Source organism: Homo sapiens, chromosome 3 (genome assembly GCF_000001405.40).
Source record: "Homo sapiens chromosome 3, GRCh38.p14 Primary Assembly".
In the NCBI taxonomy this organism is placed as follows: domain Eukaryota; kingdom Metazoa; phylum Chordata; class Mammalia; order Primates; family Hominidae; genus Homo; species Homo sapiens.
The window spans coordinates 50,369,251-50,387,729 of record NC_000003.12 but is presented as its reverse complement, the minus strand read 5'-3'; the positions used below and the strand labels follow the sequence as shown (position 1 = coordinate 50,387,729).

Sequence of the window (18,479 nt, the reverse complement as noted above, 5' to 3'; positions counted from 1 at the left end):
AAGGGACAGTCTCTGCCCCAGAGGAATCTAAGGGTGCCATGCAGGCCTTGGGGCTAGGAGTCCTGTCTGTCTCGGGACCCTGAGCAGCTAGTGCTGAGGCCTCTCTCCCCTCACCAGGAGGAAGACATCGTGTACTATGACGCCAAGGCTGACGCTGAGCTGGTGAGCACCCCCTCCTGAGCCACACCTCCTTGCTGGGCCTTGGTGGCCTTGGCTGTAAAATGGATGTTAGGACTCAGCGCCACACATTCTGAGCTCAACCCTGCAGAGCCGTGGTGACACAGGCCCCACCTTCCACCTCCCACAACTCCCTAGAAGTCCGGACCCCTCCAGGGCTGCATCTCTGTGCACTAGTGGGCTGAGCTTGACTGCAGTGTGAGGCAGGTGGTGAGGCGCTTGGCCCTTCCCGCACGGGGCAGTTTAGGTCCCAGATGGAGAGAGCCTCTCTAAGTGCAGTGAGAGGAGGGAGACAGGGAGCAGCTGGGAAGGCTTCCTGGAGGTGGGCAGGTGTGAGCAGGATGCAGGAACGTCCAGGTGCATTTCCAGGTCAGGCCAGCTCCCTTCCCTGTGCTGAGCACCCCACAGCCTGGCCCATCATCAGACCCTAACCCTGAGCTCACCTAGGGTCACCCACCTCAGAAGTGGTGGCACTGGGACTGACCAGAGAGCCCAAAGCCACACCACCCTTCTGCCTCCATGTCACTCACTGGCTCAAGTCCGCCCGGGCTGCCCTCTGAGGTAGTGAGGTCCCCATCACCAGAAGACTCGTGTGAAAGCTGTATGACTATTTGCAGGGGAGGTGGCTGTAGAGAAGACGAGTGTCTGAGGGTGTAGGGCACTTGGAGTAGACGGTGTTTGCTGAGCTTGTCAAGGCCCAAGACCCTCTGCCTGACTTTAAGGCAAAAGTAGTTGGACCCAACAGTCCCCTCTGTAAACAGAGGTGTCACAGCAGCACAGTGTCTAGACTGCTGGCTGATTCAGAGGACCCAAGATTCAGTCTTCCTCTCTTAGGCCTGCGGGCTTGGTGGGTTTCCTGGGGCAAGTGAGAGGTACCCAATGACACCAGGAGGTGAGAAGGCTGGAAAGGATCCCTGTGCAGGATCCACAGTGCCAGGCTGGCCTGGGAGAGCCGCAGGAGGGCACAGGGCCCGAGACGGAGCGGGGTGGGCTCAAGCAGGTGTGCTTCCCCTTGGCTGAGCTCCGTGGCTCCCAGAGAAGTTGCTAAAATTAAAGCTGGAATCTGAAATTCAAATGAAGAGCGAACCTTTAATTAGACCCTGAATCTAATTCCTTACCCCCCTCAGCAGCGGGCTGTAATTTTAGCAATCAGTGCATTAAATATAAACCAGGAGACTGCAGTTGCCCACCATACAAAGCCCCTGGGCTGGGGGTTGGCACTGAGGGGCTCCTTGGACAGCCTGGTGCCCAACCCCTACTAGGATGCTCTGAACCTACCTCCAGCAGCCTCAACTGTATCCAGGGCCCCAACCCCTCACTCTAAATCATTGACTCCTTGCCCGTAGCCCCTTGGACTTCTGTTGGGGGGCTAGAGATTGCCCGAAAAGAGAGCTTTTCACTCTGGGGCCTGGCTAGACTAGGGTCAGCTAGGCCAAACGCCTGGTATAAATGACAGCACGCACACATTTTCCAACTCCCCTGCTTGTTGTGTTGTTTTGTTTTTTTAATCTTTGCCAGAGGTACAGTTAGATATCTTTCTAGACCATTTACTTTTAAATTACCAGCCAGAAGGTGGGGGTGGGGGAAAGAAAAGGAAGGAAGAAGTTCGCCAGCTGATAGCTTATCAGAACAGAATCCAAATGTCACATTAGTTGAGAAAGTTGGGAGATTAAATTTTCTAGTGCCCTTCATCTGCCGCTGACATTTCGGGGGCTTTCTTCTCCCGCGCCTCCCCCTCCTCTGAGCGGAACGTGAGTGGCGCACGCCTCACAGTCGGCCGCTTCCACTCTGGCCTCCATGCTCCGAGGCTGCCTGCCCTGGCTCTACCCAGCACCCGAGGGCTTCTAGGGTGTGCCAGGGGTGGGCAGATGGGTGGCACACTGCGGAAGGGCAGTGGGAGGACAGCAGACAGCTTGGATTCTGCTGTACAAAATCCACCTTCAAAGAGATGAAAAGAGTGTCTGCCACAGGCCCTTCAGAGCCGTACCCCTGTGGTGTGGAGAGCGCATCTGGCTGGGTGGAGAGGCACGGTCACCCTTTCCCCAGACAAGACACAGCTTGGTCAAATGCCTAGAGGCAGAAACACAGGGGAGGGGCATGCCCAGGTCATAGTGGGCAGCGGGGGTCAGCCCACGTGGACCCATGGGGGAGAATGAATGAGCTAAGCCTGGGCTGAGGGTGGTCACAGAGGCTTTGAGGGGCAGTGAGGGAGCGTATGGGGTGTTCAGCTGCTTATGATCTCTCCTATCAGCCTAGGAAGCCCCCGAGCTTTGCTCTCCACCCTTAGCCTCCTTCTTTCCCTTGCCTCCCCAGTCTGGCTTTTTCCTCTTCACCTTCACTCTCTACCACCATCTTCCCTCCCCTCCCCCTTGCACACCTGCACCCAAGCCTGCCCCCCTCCCATCGGCTGCAGCATCAACACTAGTCACAGACCCACTCCTGCCAGCCTGTGATGGTGGGCGGGGGCGCACGGTGCATGCCCAGCCTGCCCGGCCGTGAGATGCCATAATTGGCACCTGTCAGGCTGCTGTGGCTCATTTTAGAAAATCAACAGGGGCCCTTTCAGTCCTACTGCTACCAGGCACCGCAGACCCTCCCTCTGGAGGTCAGCAGATCTGAATGGTAGCCCCCAGCCCAGCTCTCCCAGGTTAGCCTCCCCAGCTCAGACCCTAGAGCCATCCGGCTGCAGGGGATAGTGCCCTGCCTTAGATGGGGCTAGGGCCCTCTCCCTGGTCCCAGAGGAACTCCATGAAGGGGCTGGGCAGGACCCAGTGATGGCTGTGGGGGCCCTGAGCTCCTAGGAGGGACTGCTGAGGCCTCCCTGTGATTGCACAAGCACATCCTTGTAAGCAGAATTCTGGAGCCTGCTCCTTCTGATTGGCTCCATGATTTGCCTCCTTTCCTAATTGGTTTTCAAGAATGTGGAGAAGAGGTTGGTTTCCTTTCGGTTTTAAAATTTGGGTTTAGCAAATGTGGGGATGATGGGTGGGGTGGGCAGGGGGAGATGGGAGTCACAGGCCCCTTGGGTGAGGGGTCCAACCCCGTGTCCATCTGTCCCTGAGTCTCTCCATCTGTGTCTCCTACTGCAATAGTCTCTCTTTTTGAGATGCCCCTATCTCCTGGACTCTGGCCCTCCCTGCCCCTACTTGCAGGCCTCTACAACCCAATTCACCATTTTCCAGCCCTGACATTGCTCGGGGGTGCCCTTTCTGCAGGACGACCCTGAGAGTGAGGATGTGGAAAGGGGGTCTAAGGCCAGCACCCTAAGGCTGGACTTCATCGAGGACCCAAACTTCAAGAACAAGGTCAACTATTCATACGCGGCTGTACAGATCCCTACGGACATCTACAAAGGCTGTGAGTGTGCAGAGCAATCGGGACAGCCCATCCCACCTGCTGTGGGGGCAGGCCCACTGCCAGGGCATTCCAGAGTCCCTGGGGACAGAAGGCCAGTGCCATCTACCTCCAGCCTCCTACACCTGAGATTACTCCTGCGCACCTCTCAGATTCACCCACATGTGGGCATCAAGCACTTACAGGCAGAGCCTCACCCTAACACTCAGCAAGTTGCAAAACACTGAGCCTCTATCCCTGTGCATGCATGGTCTCCTGCCCACGTGTCCACAGGCACCCACACAAATGCACGCACACAGAGACCGTTCCCCACATGTTGGACTGAGTGCCCGCCTGCCCCTGAAGCAACTCCTCACCACCCTTCCCCATTCCCTGCCCCCAAGTAGGAGTGGTTGACAAGCTGCAACACATCAGGTGGACACGGAGGGTAGGGGGACAGGGAACCACCCCTCACAGATACCAACCCTATGACACTACCCTCCTTCTCCTGGGCATAGAACCAAGGAGGTAGGGAGTTTTCCTGCCCAGAGCAGCCAGGAGCTGGGGATATAAGGAAGGGGGATGTGGAAGAGGGTGGTTGACAGTCCAAGCTTCAGGGACAAGGCAGCTTTACACAATGGGGAAACGAGGTCACTATAGCTAGAAGGATTTGAGTCAGACATGAGGAGGAACTTCCTGAAGCTCCTGGGAGGTAAAGGAGGAGGAAACCAAGAGTCAAACACTGGATGGGGAGCTCCAGCAGCAGGATTGAAGGCACTGAGGCCTGTTGTTTCTGACACAGTTCTATGGGCACCTACAGAGTAGCCTTGGAATCCAAGGAGCCCACTGGGCTGGGACTCAAAAGCCCCAGAGCCACTGCCTCAGCTCCATAATGCAGGGAATTCCCAGGGTCCTCAGGGAGGCCCTCTCCATCTCGGGGTCAGCTAGGCCCTCTGGGCAGCCTCAGGCCAGGGTGGGGAAGGATGCTCCCCCCTGCTCCCCACAGGCTGCCCGCAGGCCACCTGCCCGAGCCAGTCGAGGGGCACTATCACAGGCAGGCACACTAATTAAAACAGGAGCCACACCGCCCTCTCCAGTCACCCCTCGCTACCCACATAAATTGCATTTTATATGTTTTTTATTTACTGTGTCACTTTTAATTAAATCTGTAATCACCTGCCTAAGGGGGCATGGTCCCCTTTCCCAACTCAGCATGATCTGAGAGTATGTGCAGGTGGGTACGGGTCTGTGCGCATGGGGCTGAGTAGCAGGCCCTTTCCAGGCGGGCGCAGGGGTGTTTGCGCGAGTGTGCCTTGCCGTGTATGGGTAAGCGCGTGTGGGGTCACAGGTACCTGCATGGACAGCCCACGCAGAGCAGGGGTCTCCTCTTGGCCCTTGACCTGGACCAGGGACACCCCTCTGCTCTAAGCCTGTCATTATGCAGATGGGAAAACCGAGACACAGTGAGGGGTGGGACCTGCCAGGCAGACTCTCTCAGGGCAAACAGTACTGTGTGAAACTCTGGAGGGCCTGGCTTTATTTTTTCCTTAGAGAGAAAAATAGAAATTGTTCAACTCACTAAGTTTCTAAATTAGGAACAGGACCATAACATACTGTTCAATAAGCAGAGCCAATGCTTGAAATGTGTTTTGTTTTCACATTATGGTCAGTTACGGGAAGCCACAGGAACAGACAGCGAAGGGAGTGGGAGCAGGGGGCAGGGATCAGGCAGCGGACGCAGCAGAGGCTCCACGCTCCAGAGGGGCCGCCCGAGGGAGAGTGCCCCAGAGTGTGTCAGTGCCCCAGGGCCGGAGCAGAGGCTAGAGAACTGTAAATCATGCTTTCTACCTTTGTCTGCCTGCTGCAGGTGGTCTCTGGTGCTCACTTGAGGTAGATTTTTGATGGGGATCCCTGTACGGGGTGACGGTGGCTGGGCTCCACATGGGAAGAAAGAGGGTGGGGGTCCCTGAAGGAGGAAGGAGGCACAGAGGCCTGGCAGAAGCAGCTGTGTCCCACTCCTGCCGTTTTGTCCTAGTGTCCAGGGACAGGGTCACTGCACACATGAGAACATGTGTCACACACACACATCAGGCCGCCCCGAGTTGGGGGTCGAGGGTACTGCTCAAACCATCCTGGATCTCTGCCCAGGTTGAAGGGTCCGCAGGATTGGAGTCCATTCTCTGAGAGGAGCCTTGTTTGTGTGTGTGTGTGTGTGTGTGTGTGTGTGTGTGTGTGTGTAGGGATAGATCTGGACAGGGGATCACACACGTGCAACTACAAGGGTTGGGGGGAAGGGAGAATGGGGTAACTGATGGTAGGGGGTTGTGAGCAGGACCCATGAGTGTCCCCTGTAGGTGCAGAGTGGTGTGTAGGCATGAACGTGTGTGCCCTTGTGCCCATGGTGGCAGCTGGGGTGCTAGGCAGGTGGGTTCCATCTGGCTGGAAACACACAGGTTAGACACAGGTATACCTGTTGGGGGGTGTGCAGTGTGCGCATGCGTGTACAAGTACACTTGCCTGTGTTGAAGCAGGATCTGGCATGCCCCTGCCCCTCCAAGAGCCCCCGCCCCCACCCCTGCTTGCTTCTGGCCCCAGTTGATTAATCATGGAGCTGAGTGGCTTCCAGCTTATCAGGTAACTTAATAGCTGAATAATTCCAGCCCCATCAGCAGGCCCTTAATTGCTTTCTTGTGGCTGAAGCCTGGAGTGCATGCTGAATGGGTGAGCTCCTGGGGGACCAGTGCTAGCTCCAGGCAGCATGCTGGACTGAGGGCTCCGAGTTCCCAGCACCCAGCCACCTGGGCAGCCCCTCTCCAGAGGCTACCAGCCACAGCTGCCCTGCCTGCTCATGTGGGACCTGGAGGAAGAGTAGGCTGAACTGTTCCTTTCACAGCTTGGGAGGGGTGAGGATCAGAAAGTCTTCCTGGAGGAGCTGGGGCAGCCCCAGCTGGGCCCTAGGAAATAGGGAGGGCCTGGATAGGCCGAGAACAGTTGGGGGATTCTAAATGGGGGCACAGGCATGAGTGTCGTGGTGGTGGGTTCGACAGGACACAGCCCAGGTGCTCCCCACCCCAGCTCCCCGCTTCCCCCCAGCCACTGTCATCCTCAATGAGCTCAACTGGACAGAGGCCCTGGAGAATGTGTTCATGGAAAACCGCAGACAAGACCCCACACTGCTGTGGCAGGTCTTCGGCAGCGCCACAGGAGTCACTCGCTACTACCCGGGTAGGTACCAGCCCCTGTCCCCTGTCTACCCAGCACCTCGCCTTTCTCCATCTACCAGCCCACCCATCCTGGGGGCATGGGGCGGGGTGGCTTCTCTGTAGTCTGTGGCAGCCCAGTCGCCTCTGCAAGGTCTGCCTACCCAGGCCAGCCCTTTCCTGCCAGTCCCCCTCACCTTCTCTCCTCCCTCAGCCACCCCGTGGCGAGCCCCCAAGAAGATCGACCTGTACGATGTCCGAAGGAGACCCTGGTGAGCGAGCAAGAAGGGGCTGGGGAGGGACACCCCCTCAGTTCCCCACCTTTCCTGCCTGCTCCCCTCCCTCCCCATTTCCAAGCCTCCTAGCAGGGCGCAGCCAGCTGTATCCAATTTTCATTTCACACATGGTTGCCACTGGAAAATGGATCCCATCACCCAGGCAGGCCTCCCAGCTGCCATGCCCCCCGTCCACTGCCCAGCACCCCCACCCACTCAGGACTGAGAGATTGGAAGGGAGATTGGACCAGAAGGGGTCCCCAAAGGCAGATGTAGCCTCTGTAGGGTTGGCCAGTCCCTGCCCCACCCGTCTGAGCCCCAGATATCCCTCCCCTCTGTTCTGCCCCTCCGGCAGCTCCCTGTGACTCTCCTTCCCTGCCACCTGCACCATCCCATACACAGCTAGACTGTGCCCTCGGGGCCCCAACCTGAGGCAGAGGACACAACAAGCCACTGAAGCCAGGGAATGTGGCTCCTGCCCCCTCTGGGGATCACCTGCTCATATACCCCCTGGTACTTTTTCCTTGCTGAGGAACCAGACCATTCATGTCATGGGCAAGGACTGTGTCTGTTTCGTTAAATGTGGTATCATCGGTGCATAGAACCCTGCCTGGCCCACACAGTGCATGCTCAAGAGAAATGTATTGAATCAATATGTATGTGAAGGAAGGAAGGACCCACAAGGTCCCAGTGGGCCTTACCCTAACAGAGGCATCTCCTGGGCAGGTATATCCAGGGGGCCTCGTCACCCAAAGACATGGTCATCATCGTGGATGTGTGAGTGAGCAGTGCTGGCAAGTGGGGCTGGGGCAGGGACGGGCAATGGGCTAGACTCTGCTGCCCTGAACATCTTGGGGGATGGGCAGGAGAACACGTGAGGTTCCCCTGGCTCCTCCACGTCCCCTGCCTGACCTCTCCAGGAGTGGCAGTGTGAGCGGCCTGACCCTGAAGCTGATGAAGACATCTGTCTGCGAGATGCTGGACACGCTGTCTGATGATGACTATGTGAATGTGGCCTCGGTGAGTGCCAAGGTGGCAGACGGGGTGAAATGGGTCACCCCATCTGCCCTGCTCCTGTGACCATCACCAGCCCCATGCAATAGCTGCCTACCCCGGCCAGCCTGAGGCCACTCACCACCCTACTGTTCCTGCAGTTCAACGAGAAGGCACAGCCTGTGTCATGCTTCACACACCTGGTGCAGGCCAATGTGCGCAACAAGAAGGTGTTCAAGGAAGCTGTGCAGGGCATGGTGGCCAAGGGCACCACAGGCTACAAGGCCGGCTTTGAGTATGCCTTTGACCAGCTGCAGAACGTGAGCCCCATGGGTGGGCAAGTGGGCGGCTGGGGGAGTAGAGGGCCCTGGCTTGGTGTACCCAGGAAATCAAGACGGATGGCCTCGTTAGCACCAAACAGGCAGCTTGGACAGATAGCTCCATCTGCTGTGGGGGAGGAGGGCCAGAGGTCCAGGCCCACTGCGGGAGGGAGGCCCTGCCCCTGGACCAGGGAGGGCTGAGAGCTGCCTGCCTCCGCCTCACTCCCCTCAGTCCAACATCACTCGGGCCAACTGCAACAAGATGATCATGATGTTCACGGATGGTGGTGAGGACCGCGTGCAGGACGTCTTTGAGAAGTACAATTGGCCAAACCGGACGGTGAGGCTCAACCGAGGCAGGGGCTACCCTGACCTGGGCCCAGTACAGAAGAGGGCTGTCCCCTGGTGGCCACAGCAGTAACCTCAAACCCCCCACAGGTGCGCGTGTTTACTTTCTCCGTGGGGCAGCATAACTATGACGTCACACCGCTGCAGTGGATGGCCTGTGCCAACAAAGGTACCTCCCCTGCGCATCACTGTCAGGGGCCTGCCTGCCATTTCTTTTTGTCGATTGCGTATGTTCAACTGGCCATCCATATGTCCAGCTGTGTGTTCACCCGCTGCAAGACAGTGTGCCTCCTCCCATCCACGAGGCTGTCCCTCACTCTATCTGGGGGCTAACGGGTCCACCTAACTGAGCCTCTTTTTGCCCGTCTGTCTGTCCATTGTCCAACCGTCCCCCAGCTTGTCTACTCCTGCGTCTGTTTGCTGATCCGTCCATCTCTCTGTGCACTTGGGCCTGGCTGCCGGGTGGACTTTGAATGGCATTGCACCCTAAAATGAGGGACCTCAGACCTCAGGCTCCTCCCTCCCCATCTCTGCCCCCTGCTCTGCTTCCTGATACTGCTGCACTCACTCCCTCTCCATAGCACCGCCCTTGGCAGGGCAGAGGCCGGGAGCACTAGAGGGAGAGGACCCCAAAAAGAGAGGAGCCCAAGAGGCGAGGCAGGGCTGCAGACACACCCCAGGGGCAGGGCCCTCTGCACATGGATCCTGCAGTGCCAGCCAGGCCCACCTCTGCCTCTCCTTCCTTCACAGGCTACTATTTTGAGATCCCTTCCATCGGAGCCATCCGCATCAACACACAGGTGAGACTTGGGGAGGCCCCTCCTCCCAGCCCCTGGCTTCCCTGCAGGGACGCTGTGTGCCATGGGCTGCTGTGGGCCAAGGGCGCCCCCTCACAGTGGCTGGGGCACAATCCCAATGCCTGGCGAGACAGAACAGGCAGTGCCTGGGAAAGGCACTCATTACCCCCACCACTGCCCCCTCCCCAGGAATATCTAGATGTGTTGGGCAGGCCCATGGTGCTGGCAGGCAAGGAGGCCAAGCAGGTGCAGTGGACCAACGTGTATGAGGATGCACTGGTAAGGCCTCTGGACAAGGAAGGGGTGGGGCTGGCACCCTTCCCCCGGAGATGTGCCCACAGGGTCAAGACCCTGGAGGGCCCCCTTATGGGGTAAACCAAGCACAGGAGAAAGAGGTGGCCTGCACCTCAGTCCCTGCTCTGAACACTCAGGGTGGGGTCAGTGCTGGCCACAGGTGACTCCATCATCTTCCTCTCCCTTCAGGGACTGGGGTTGGTGGTAACAGGGACCCTCCCTGTTTTCAACCTGACACAGGATGGCCCTGGGGAAAAGAAGGTGAGGAAAGGGGAGGGTTGGGGCTATGGGTGTGCCTGGGGAGGAATGGGCATGCCCACAGCAGGTCTGAGGGTGGAAGAGGGGCAGGGCAGGCCTGCACACTGCCTGTGAGAGCAGCTTGAGGCCTTGTGGAGGGTGGTTCCCCATGGAATTGAGCTCACTGAGGAGCCCCCCATGCTTCTGCTCCCAGAACCAGCTGATCCTGGGCGTGATGGGCATTGACGTGGCTCTGAATGACATCAAGAGGCTGACCCCCAACTACACGGTGAGCATCCCCCTGCCCATCCGCGTACCCTGCCTCCCATGTGGACACAGGCAGGCTCAGCAGAGAAGACTGATGGGTATTACAGCGCCTCCATGGAGACCTCTGAGTTCAGGGGTCGGGGAAGGCTTCCCCAGGAGGTGACCTTGGGTCTAGAACAAGGTGACCTTGGGTTGGCAAACTTTCTGTAAAGGGCCAGACTGAATATTTTAGGCTTTGCAGACCTACATACCCATCTCTTACTCGGTTGCACTGTTGTATTGTGAAAGCAGCCACAAACAAAACATAAACAATGGGCATGGCTATGTTCCAATTTAATTTTATTTGTGGATACTGATATTTGAATTTCAGATAATTTTCACATGTCACAAAATAGAATTCTTCCTTTGATGTTTTTTCCAGCCATTTAAAAACATAAAACCATTCTTAGCTCATGGCCACATAGTAATGGGCAGCAGGCCAGACCTGGCCCATGCACATAGGCAGGAGTGTCCCAGGCAGAAAGGAAAGGAGGGGATGGCGTACATTGGAGGCAGAGGGAATTCTCTGGCCAAGGGCCCAAAGGTGAAAAACAATCATAAACCAGGGTAGGGGCAAGATGGCATTGTGGCTGGCCCAGCGCCTGCGGTCAGGGAGTCTGCATCTTGGCCTGTGGAAGGGGGAGAGGTGTGGTATGTACAACAGCATCATTAAGCCTGAGCCCCCCTGAAGCCTCTGCTTGGCCCTGAGTGGGCAGGGGCTGTGGCAGTTGGCCTCCAGGTACAGTAAGAAACTGACTGGGGGAGGTAAGGGCTAGGTCCAGGTCCCACTTACTCCTACTTCCCTTCCACCTGGAAGGGAAGCCCCAGGTAGGATTCCGAAGGGTCCACTCGTCCCGCTGCTCTCTCTTGACGTGGGGACAAGGAGGAGGCACAAATCAGGGGCAGTAGTGGCTAGAGGAGGGCCACAGGGGTACAGAAGCAGCAGACCTGTGGGGCCGGTGGTGGCAGAGAGGTCAGGACAACTGACAGCTCATGAGAACCAGGGGGAGAGGATGAGGACTGCAGAGCAGCAGCCCACACGCCGGTTAGCCTTGGCAAGGGCTGGTGCACAAGGGGCAACCCGCCTGCGGGCCTGGCTGGAGAGACAGGCTTAGGGCCACGTGGCATGGGGGGGCCCTTAGCCCAAGGCAGGCAAACAGAATCTCTCGGTGCGGTGGGAGGCCAAATAGGGAAGAACTCCGGAGCCCAGGGAACCCCAGCCCATCCCTCCAGACCCTGAGCCCCCAATCTGTGCCTCCAGCTTGGAGCCAACGGCTATGTGTTTGCCATTGACCTGAACGGCTACGTGTTGCTGCACCCCAATCTCAAGCCCCAGGTGAGCCAGACGGGTGGCCTGGAGGGTGGGCAAACCTTCCACAATGGGGACTTCTGACTTCCCACCCTGCCTCCAACAGACCACCAACTTCCGGGAGCCTGTGACTCTGGACTTCCTGGATGCGGAGCTAGAGGATGAGAACAAGGAAGAGGTAAGGAGAGGAGGAGAACAGGGGTGGGGGACAGAGCAGAGGAGTGTAGGGGCCCTGCCCCTCACATCTCTGGCCCTTCCAGATCCGTCGGAGCATGATTGATGGCAACAAGGGCCACAAGCAGATCAGAACGTTGGTCAAGTCCCTGGATGAGGTAAGGAGGCAGGGCTGGGGGCCAGGGAGTCAGGGTGGGCACCCTTCTACCCCAGCGCCCCCTGCCTGCTAGCCCAAGTACCTGACCCAGCCTCCTCTCCCAGAGGTACATAGATGAGGTGACACGGAACTACACCTGGGTGCCTATAAGGAGCACTAACTACAGGTAAGTGAGGCCAGGGCTGGGCGGGCAGAGAGGGTGGGGTGGCCCCAGAATCTGAGCCCAGCTGTCCCCTCCCTCTCCCACTGTGACCACCATCCCAGTGGGGCACCAGTGGCCAGGGCTGCTCACTACTCACCCTGAGATGCTTAGTCTGCCAAGAGACTCCCTGGCTTTTAAGGAACAAGCAGCAGGTCTGAGAGCACAGCACAGTCATCCAAAGTCTCCTCATCCCAGGATACTGCCCTTGGCATGCTGTCAGCCTGCCTCACAGTCTCAGGGCAGAGGAGGTCCCTTGTGTGTCAGGCTGGGTCAGTGCAGGCTGACCTCTGCCTGCCCCACACAGCTAGTCCATCCTGAAATGCCGGGGCATCCTCACAGCCCATGCCAGCCCACAACTGCCACCCCCTGCCCCCACCATATCTGCGCCAGCCCTGCTTTCTGCTGGCTTTGAGTATCTGGGGGCTGGTGACCCCACTCCCACGGCAACACTGGCATTGCAGCCAGCTCACGGCAGCGTCTGCCCCTTGTGGGTCAGAGGGAGGTTGGCTGGGCAGGGGGCTGTTGTGAGAGGCTGCTGGGAGGGGAGATGGTGTGGGGATTTGCTTTGGGGCTGGTTGCCCGGTGGCCCCCAGGAGAGTTTGAGAAGTGGAGAGCCTCCAGGGTGCCGGCCCCTAGACCATGAACCTCCTGCAGCTAAGCGGGGAGAGGGGTCCCTGGTGGTGGGAGGAGGGGATGCTGCAGCTGGGGCCTCTGCCCAGCTCCAAGGCCATGGGGAGGGGGTGCCAGTGTGGCCCGCCTCCCCCCAGCCGTGACCCGAGCTTCTCCCCCCTCAGCCTGGGGCTGGTGCTCCCACCCTACAGCACCTTCTACCTCCAAGCCAATCTCAGTGACCAGATCCTGCAGGTCAAGTGTAAGTGGCCCGGCCCCTGCCTGCGCCCTGCACCCTGCCTCTGCCCCGCACCCTGGCCGGCCCCAGGCAGCATAGCCAGCGCCGCTTGCCGGCGAGGCAGTCCCTCCTGCCCAGTCTGCCCACCCTCAGGTGCCCGCAGGCTGGGGCACCTCGAAAGTCTGTGGAAATCTGCATGCTTGCCTTTTCTCAGATTCGGTTCCAGACCATTCTTTCATGGTTTCTGTTGAGGTTGCTGTTTTTGGTTTCTCCTACTCCGTGTCTTCCCTCCTTAGCCTGCCTGCCCCACACACTCCTGGGGGCTGCATTCTTGGAAGACACCCCCTCCCCTTACCTTCCCCCTCCCCTCCCCACCCACCTCCACTCCCCTTCCCCTCCCCTCCCCTTCCCCCTCCTCCTCCCCCTACCCTCCCCTTTCTCCTCCCCCTCCTCCTGTCCCTCTCCTCTCCCCTTTCCCCTCCCCTTCCCTTTCCCCTTTTCCTTCCCCCTCCCCTTCCCCCCACCCTCACCATCCCCCCTCCCCTCACCTTCCCCCCTCCCCTTTCCTCCCTCCACCTCCTCTCCCTTCCCTTCACCTATTCCCCCTCCCTTCAATTCCTTCCTCCTTCCCCTTACCTCCTCCCCAATCCCACCTCCCCTCTCCTCCTCCCCCTCCCCTCCTCCCTCTCCCTTCCTCCCCTTCTCCTCCCCCTCTTTCCCCTCCCCTCCTCTCCCTCCAGTCCTTCCCCTCCCCTCCTCCCCCCTCCCCTCCCCCCTTTTCCCTTCCCCTCCCCTCTTTCTCCCTCCCCTCCCCTCTTTCCTCTCTCTTCCTGTTCAGCTCTCTACCCCTGTGGTGCCCCCTTCCCATGGTGCCTCTCTCTCTCTCTGCCCCCTCCTCTCCATTCTTTCCTCATCCATCCTCACTCAGTTCCCACTTACCCTCTCATCCTTCTCCTCTCACTTCCTACCTCTCTCCCCTCTGCATCCAACCTCCCTCCCTTACGCACTGTCCTCTCTTCTTCCCTCTCTCCCTCCTCTTCTCCCTGCATCTCCTCTATCTCCCTCTTTCTCCTGCTCACCTCCTCCATCTCTCTCTCTCACTCTCCCTCCCTCCCGCTCTCCCCACCCCAGCACCCCCCCCCCTTCAGTCCCACTCCCCACACTCCCTCCGCTCTGCCCCCTGGCTCCCTCCTCACCTTCTTTCTTCCCTCCTTCATTCCCCATCCCCCTCCTCCCTCCCCCTCCCTGCTTTCTCCCTGGCCCCCCTCCTTCCTCCCCTGCCTCTCCCACTCCTCTGCCTGTGGCTCACCCCTGCATGCCCTGCTCATCCTGGGCCTCTCCTGAGAGAGTCTCTAGAGCCTGTGGCCCTGCCTGCCCACCACGCCCGAGGTCACTGGGAGGGAGGCTGGGGCTCCGGCCCCACCGGGCGCCCCCCACCTGCCTGGCCGACTGGGGGCTCATCTCCTTTGAGTTTTCTTGCTCTCTCTTTCTCTCTCATGTCGTTTTTTGCAAGAAGTTTCCTTTCGGTATGATGATGAGACACAATATTTTCATTCAAACAGCCATTGAATAAAATATTGTTTGTGCCCCTCCCCTTTCCCTCCCCCTTTTCGTTTGTTTTTGTGTTTGTGTTGTTTTTGTTTTCCTCGCTTTCTCTCTTGGTGGACTGTCCCAGTGCCAATCAGCAAACTGAAGGGCAAGTATATTCAGAACCAGTGCACCCTCCTCTTCCCACCCCTCCCATCCTCACGCCCCTGCTTGCCCCCCTCCCTGCCCAGGACCAGCCAAACCCCTGCTCTCCAGGGCCCCCTCCCAGCTTCCCCTTGGCTCCTCTAGTTCTTGCCTTTCCTCTGATTCCTAAGCCCCTATGAGAGCCAGTGGCCTGTGCCCCTGGCCCTGCCTGCAGGGTGTTCTCCGGCGTGTTCTCAGGGCCCACAACCCTTTCCTTGGACCCCTCACTCTCTCTGGGGAGGCCCCTGCCTCCCCCACCTTCTCTGTCCCTCTAAGACAACTCAACAGTAGGGACAGTCTGGACGCTTCTCCACCACCTCCCACTCAGCAGGGCTGGAGGCCTGAGATGCAGGGGGTAGATCAGCCCCTAGTGGGGCTCATGTGAAGCTGTGGGAAGGGGCCAGCCCACAAGGCCTACTCTGAGGTAGCTCTCCCTCCTCTGATCTCTGGCAGTAGCTTCAGAAGCTGGCAGCCCTCCAAGAAGGGAGGCAGAAGGCTCAGAAGCCTCACGCCCTGATGCTGGGGCCAAAGGGCAGCATAGGGCAGGCCCCAGCCATTGAAGAGCAGGGCTGACCCGCGCCTCCTGGGCACTGACACAGGTGCTGATGTCCCCGTGTCCTGCCGGCCCGCTGCTTCCAGAGGCTTTGCTGAGCCCCGGGGTGGCTTGGCAGTATGGAAAAGGTGTTTCCCTGGGGAAATAAAACCAGATTTGGGGACCAGGGGCCTGGACAGGGATGGAATGGGATCTGTTTAGACCCCAAGAGCCAGCAAAGGTGTTTGGAGGAAATCAGGCTGGGTATGAAAGGAAGGGTTCTGGCACACTGGGGTGCCTAAGCCAAGGAGACTTCTGGAAGAGTGGGTAGTGAACCCCTAGACCCTGGCAGAGAGTAAGGGGAGTGAGAGAGGACAGCATTACAAAGGTCTCAGAGAGCCACCTCTCCCAGGGAATCCCTGGGCAGATGGGGCATGGAGAGCCACAAGAGGATGTCCCCATGACCTGGAAGCAGGGGCACCCAAGAAGCCCTAGGGGCCCTGTCCAGCCTAGTCCAGCAAAGGGGATAAAGGGATCAGAGCCACCTCCAGTGGCCAGGGCGGGGGTGGGGGATGTGCCCTACTCCCACTGGCTTGAGTTGTCTTTTTCTCCCCACCCCCGCACATCCCACCCAGTGACCCCAGAAATGCAGGGCCCTAGTAACAATGACAACATAGCATAGTCTCCTTCCCTGCTCCTTCGCCCTCCTTTTTCTTTTTCCTCCTTCTCCTCTTCCCCCCAACCCCTTCCCCATCGGCTTGTGTCCAAACCCTGCCTCACAGTCCTATCAGAAAGGAACAGTCCAACCAGTGACTGCCCAGCCCCTCCAAGCACCCCAAGTGCCCCCTTCCCCAGAATCTTGCAGTGCATTGTGGGAGTATTTGGTATCAGGGACAATCTGTCTTCTATACAATTAAAGCCCTGGGAGCAAAAGAGAGCTCAGAAGTGGAGACAGGCTAAGAAGGTGGACCACCCACAGTGAGACAGGCCAAGAGCAGAGGGACCCCTCCCAGGTGCAGACCAGCAAGGTGGCCAGTCCAGCTGGGCAGGGAGAGGCCACAGAGGAGCCCCAGCGGCCACATCCTCAGGTTCACTCTCAAACCCATACAGAGATACTCACACTTAGGCACACACACACACACACACACACATGCATGCTCACTCACCCACACATGCACAGCTCATAAGCCCAGGGCACAGGCCCAACTGGGGATGCCTCAACAGCAGCCCTATGCCCTCTCTGGAGCCCTAGCATCCCCCATGGCTGCCTGGAGCCCAGACAGGTTTTAGGAAGGGTGGAGACCCAGCCCGTCTCCACGCCCTTAGCCAAGGGAAGCAGGTACAGTTTCCAGCAGCACCCCTGTCCTCCTTCCAGCTCCTCAGACTTTCTTCCCACACTGTGGGAACACTCCTTGGCACTTTGAGGGTCTCCCTTCACCTCCTAGCCCAGGGAGGACCACCAGCCCCGACAATGCACTGCAGTGAACCCTCAGCTGCCCCGACCCGTCTCTGGTTGGACTGTTTGTGCCCGTGAGAAACCCCCTCGGTTTGGCCATGTTGATGCCTGACACAGAACAAAAGCAAGACCTACCAAAACGCAAACAGCTGCGGCAAAGAAAGAGAGAGAAAAATCCGCAGCCAAAAGCCAATTCCCTTCCTCAAAGTCTCTTTGGAGGCAAAGGAAGCTCAGCATGCGGTTTTTTCCATTATGGATGTGATAAGAGCGAGACTGGCGCCTCCCCCAGACCATGCATATATATAGCAGTGTGTGTATATATATGTGTGTGTGTGTGTCCGTGTATATGTGCTATACAGCCGTATGGAAGCATATACAGCCACGCCAAGGGACTCACTGCCGACAGAGGACCAGGCCCGGGCAACATATTGGCTATAACTGCCCTCCTCCTGCGATGCTGTAGTCTCCACAGGCCCTCCACCCTCCCTGCCCGTCCCTTCTCTCTGGCTCCTGGACGTGGAAATGGCGGGTTTCCTCTTTGCTGGTGTCTCCCCCTCCCTCCAGCCCCCCTCTCCCCTGTCCTTCCAGCCCCGTCAGCTCTGAGCCCCCCGGCCTCCAGCCTCCCCAGCCCCCGCCGGATAACCCCCCGTTTCTGTTGCAGATTTTGAGTTCCTGCTCCCCAGCAGCTTTGAGTCTGAAGGACACGTTTTCATTGCTCCCAGGTAGCTTGCGTGTGGCCTTGCTGAGGTGTCCTCCCCTACCCTGACCGCCCCGGCCCCACCTCCTGCACTGCTGCCTGGAGCTCTGTGTGTCTGTGTCCTGTGCAGTGTCATCCCCCGGCCCCCATACATCGCCCGGTATGCGCGGCTGTGTGCATACCCAGGCCATGTACCGCACCAGGCAGCAGTGGCCAGCTGCCTCACGGCCCTAGCTCCCACCAGGCCGGGGCAGGAGGGCTCCAGACTCATCTGCTGACTTTCCCTGCCCTCCCAGGCAACCAGGCAGGAGCCCTTTCCGCCCTGGGGTGGCTGTCTGTGGCATGCCCACCCCTCGCCAGGCAGCTGCTGCTCTGGTTTGTGGTGTCCTGCCCATCCCCCCAACCCCGCACCCCATCGTTGTCCTGTGTCAGTCGGTGTTCGTGTGGGTCTGGGGGCCGAGCCAGCCAGAGCCCCTGTCGGCAGTGCCGGGTCTAGGCGTGGTACTTCACTTGGGGGGTTGGGGGAGGAGAGTGGGGGCTTTGAGGAGCTGCTCCATCAGATGAGGAGACGGGGCCCCGAGCAAGCCCAGGCCTGGACCATCCCGGAGTGCACGCTCAGTGTGCACACACACGTTCTCATGTACACACCGTCTGCCTTTGGCCCATGTCTGGGGAGGCCGGGTCCCCTGGGTGCTGAAGCCCTTCCATGACCCAGGCTTGGGATGAGGGCAGGTGGGTGGATGCAGCTGACAAGAGACCCAGGGGCACTGGAAGGCAGCACACGGGGGCTCTGGACATGCCTCACCTTCGTGTGTGCACGTATGTGCATGCACCCAGTTTCTCTGTGACTCTCTCTGTAGATGTGTGTATTTGTGAGTCACCATGTACATATGTAAGAGTCTGAGCATAAATGTGGGGGTGGCTCTGTGTGTTAGTGAATGTGGGAAGGTGTGAAAAGACCTATGTGGCCCACATGACCCTGAGGAAGCTCTCTTGAAGGCAGGGACCCTATTCGTTTTTGTCATCTCTGTGTCTGTGGCTCAGAAGAGCTCAATAAATACGTGGAGGGTGAGTGAATGAAGTACCTCACAAAT

The 18,479-nt window shown here is 58.7% G+C and overlaps 1 protein-coding gene across 6 annotated transcripts in view, besides 3 other annotated features; it reads left to right on the top strand.

Moving 5' to 3' along the window:
- CACNA2D2 (calcium voltage-gated channel auxiliary subunit alpha2delta 2) overlaps positions 1-18,479 on the top strand; it is a 141,632-nt gene that overhangs the window by 116,515 nt on the left and 6,638 nt on the right. For 4 of the 6 annotated variants that reach the window (NM_001291101.1, NM_006030.4, NM_001005505.3 and 1 more), the window contains exons 5-23: positions 118-162; positions 3,393-3,534; positions 6,604-6,735; positions 6,925-6,982; positions 7,712-7,762; positions 7,906-8,005; positions 8,140-8,298; positions 8,531-8,638; positions 8,737-8,815; positions 9,397-9,446; positions 9,633-9,722; positions 9,927-9,998; positions 10,189-10,263; positions 11,542-11,616; positions 11,696-11,767; positions 11,850-11,921; positions 12,025-12,086; positions 12,917-12,993; positions 17,350-17,410. In NM_001291101.1, coding sequence (NP_001278030.1) covers positions 118-162; positions 3,393-3,534; positions 6,604-6,735; positions 6,925-6,982; positions 7,712-7,762; positions 7,906-8,005; positions 8,140-8,298; positions 8,531-8,638; positions 8,737-8,815; positions 9,397-9,446; positions 9,633-9,722; positions 9,927-9,998; positions 10,189-10,263; positions 11,542-11,616; positions 11,696-11,767; positions 11,850-11,921; positions 12,025-12,086; positions 12,917-12,993; positions 17,350-17,410 — 1,580 coding nt within the window. Of the gene's footprint in view, positions 1-117; positions 163-3,392; positions 3,535-6,603; positions 6,736-6,924; positions 6,983-7,711; positions 7,763-7,905; positions 8,006-8,139; positions 8,299-8,530; positions 8,639-8,736; positions 8,816-9,396; positions 9,447-9,632; positions 9,723-9,926; positions 9,999-10,188; positions 10,264-11,541; positions 11,617-11,695; positions 11,768-11,849; positions 11,922-12,024; positions 12,087-12,916; positions 12,994-14,644; positions 14,666-17,349; positions 17,411-18,479 lie in introns of all 6 variants that reach the window. The other 2 variants (NM_001174051.3, XM_011534243.3) reach the window with 1 other exon arrangement.
- Positions 7,399-7,568: an enhancer, noted in NCBI's record as "experimental_70587 CRE fragment used in MPRA reporter constructs". NCBI's record gives its function as "activates a minimal promoter by MPRAs in K562 erythroleukemia cells, with activity observed for both the introgressed and non-introgressed 3:50417678 variant alleles {active_cell/tissue: K562}" and the evidence as "EXISTENCE:reporter gene assay evidence [ECO:0000049][PMID:34662402]".
- Positions 15,036-15,205: an enhancer, noted in NCBI's record as "experimental_70577 CRE fragment used in MPRA reporter constructs". NCBI's record gives its function as "activates a minimal promoter by MPRAs in K562 erythroleukemia cells, with activity observed for both the introgressed and non-introgressed 3:50410041 variant alleles {active_cell/tissue: K562}" and the evidence as "EXISTENCE:reporter gene assay evidence [ECO:0000049][PMID:34662402]".
- Positions 15,928-16,459: an enhancer, noted in NCBI's record as "H3K27ac-H3K4me1 hESC enhancer chr3:50408702-50409233 (GRCh37/hg19 assembly coordinates)". NCBI's record gives its function as "activates a minimal SCP1, AML or CMV promoter by ChIP-STARR-seq in naive H9 embryonic stem cells {active_cell/tissue: H9 hESC(naive)}" and the evidence as "EXISTENCE:reporter gene assay evidence [ECO:0000049][PMID:30033119]".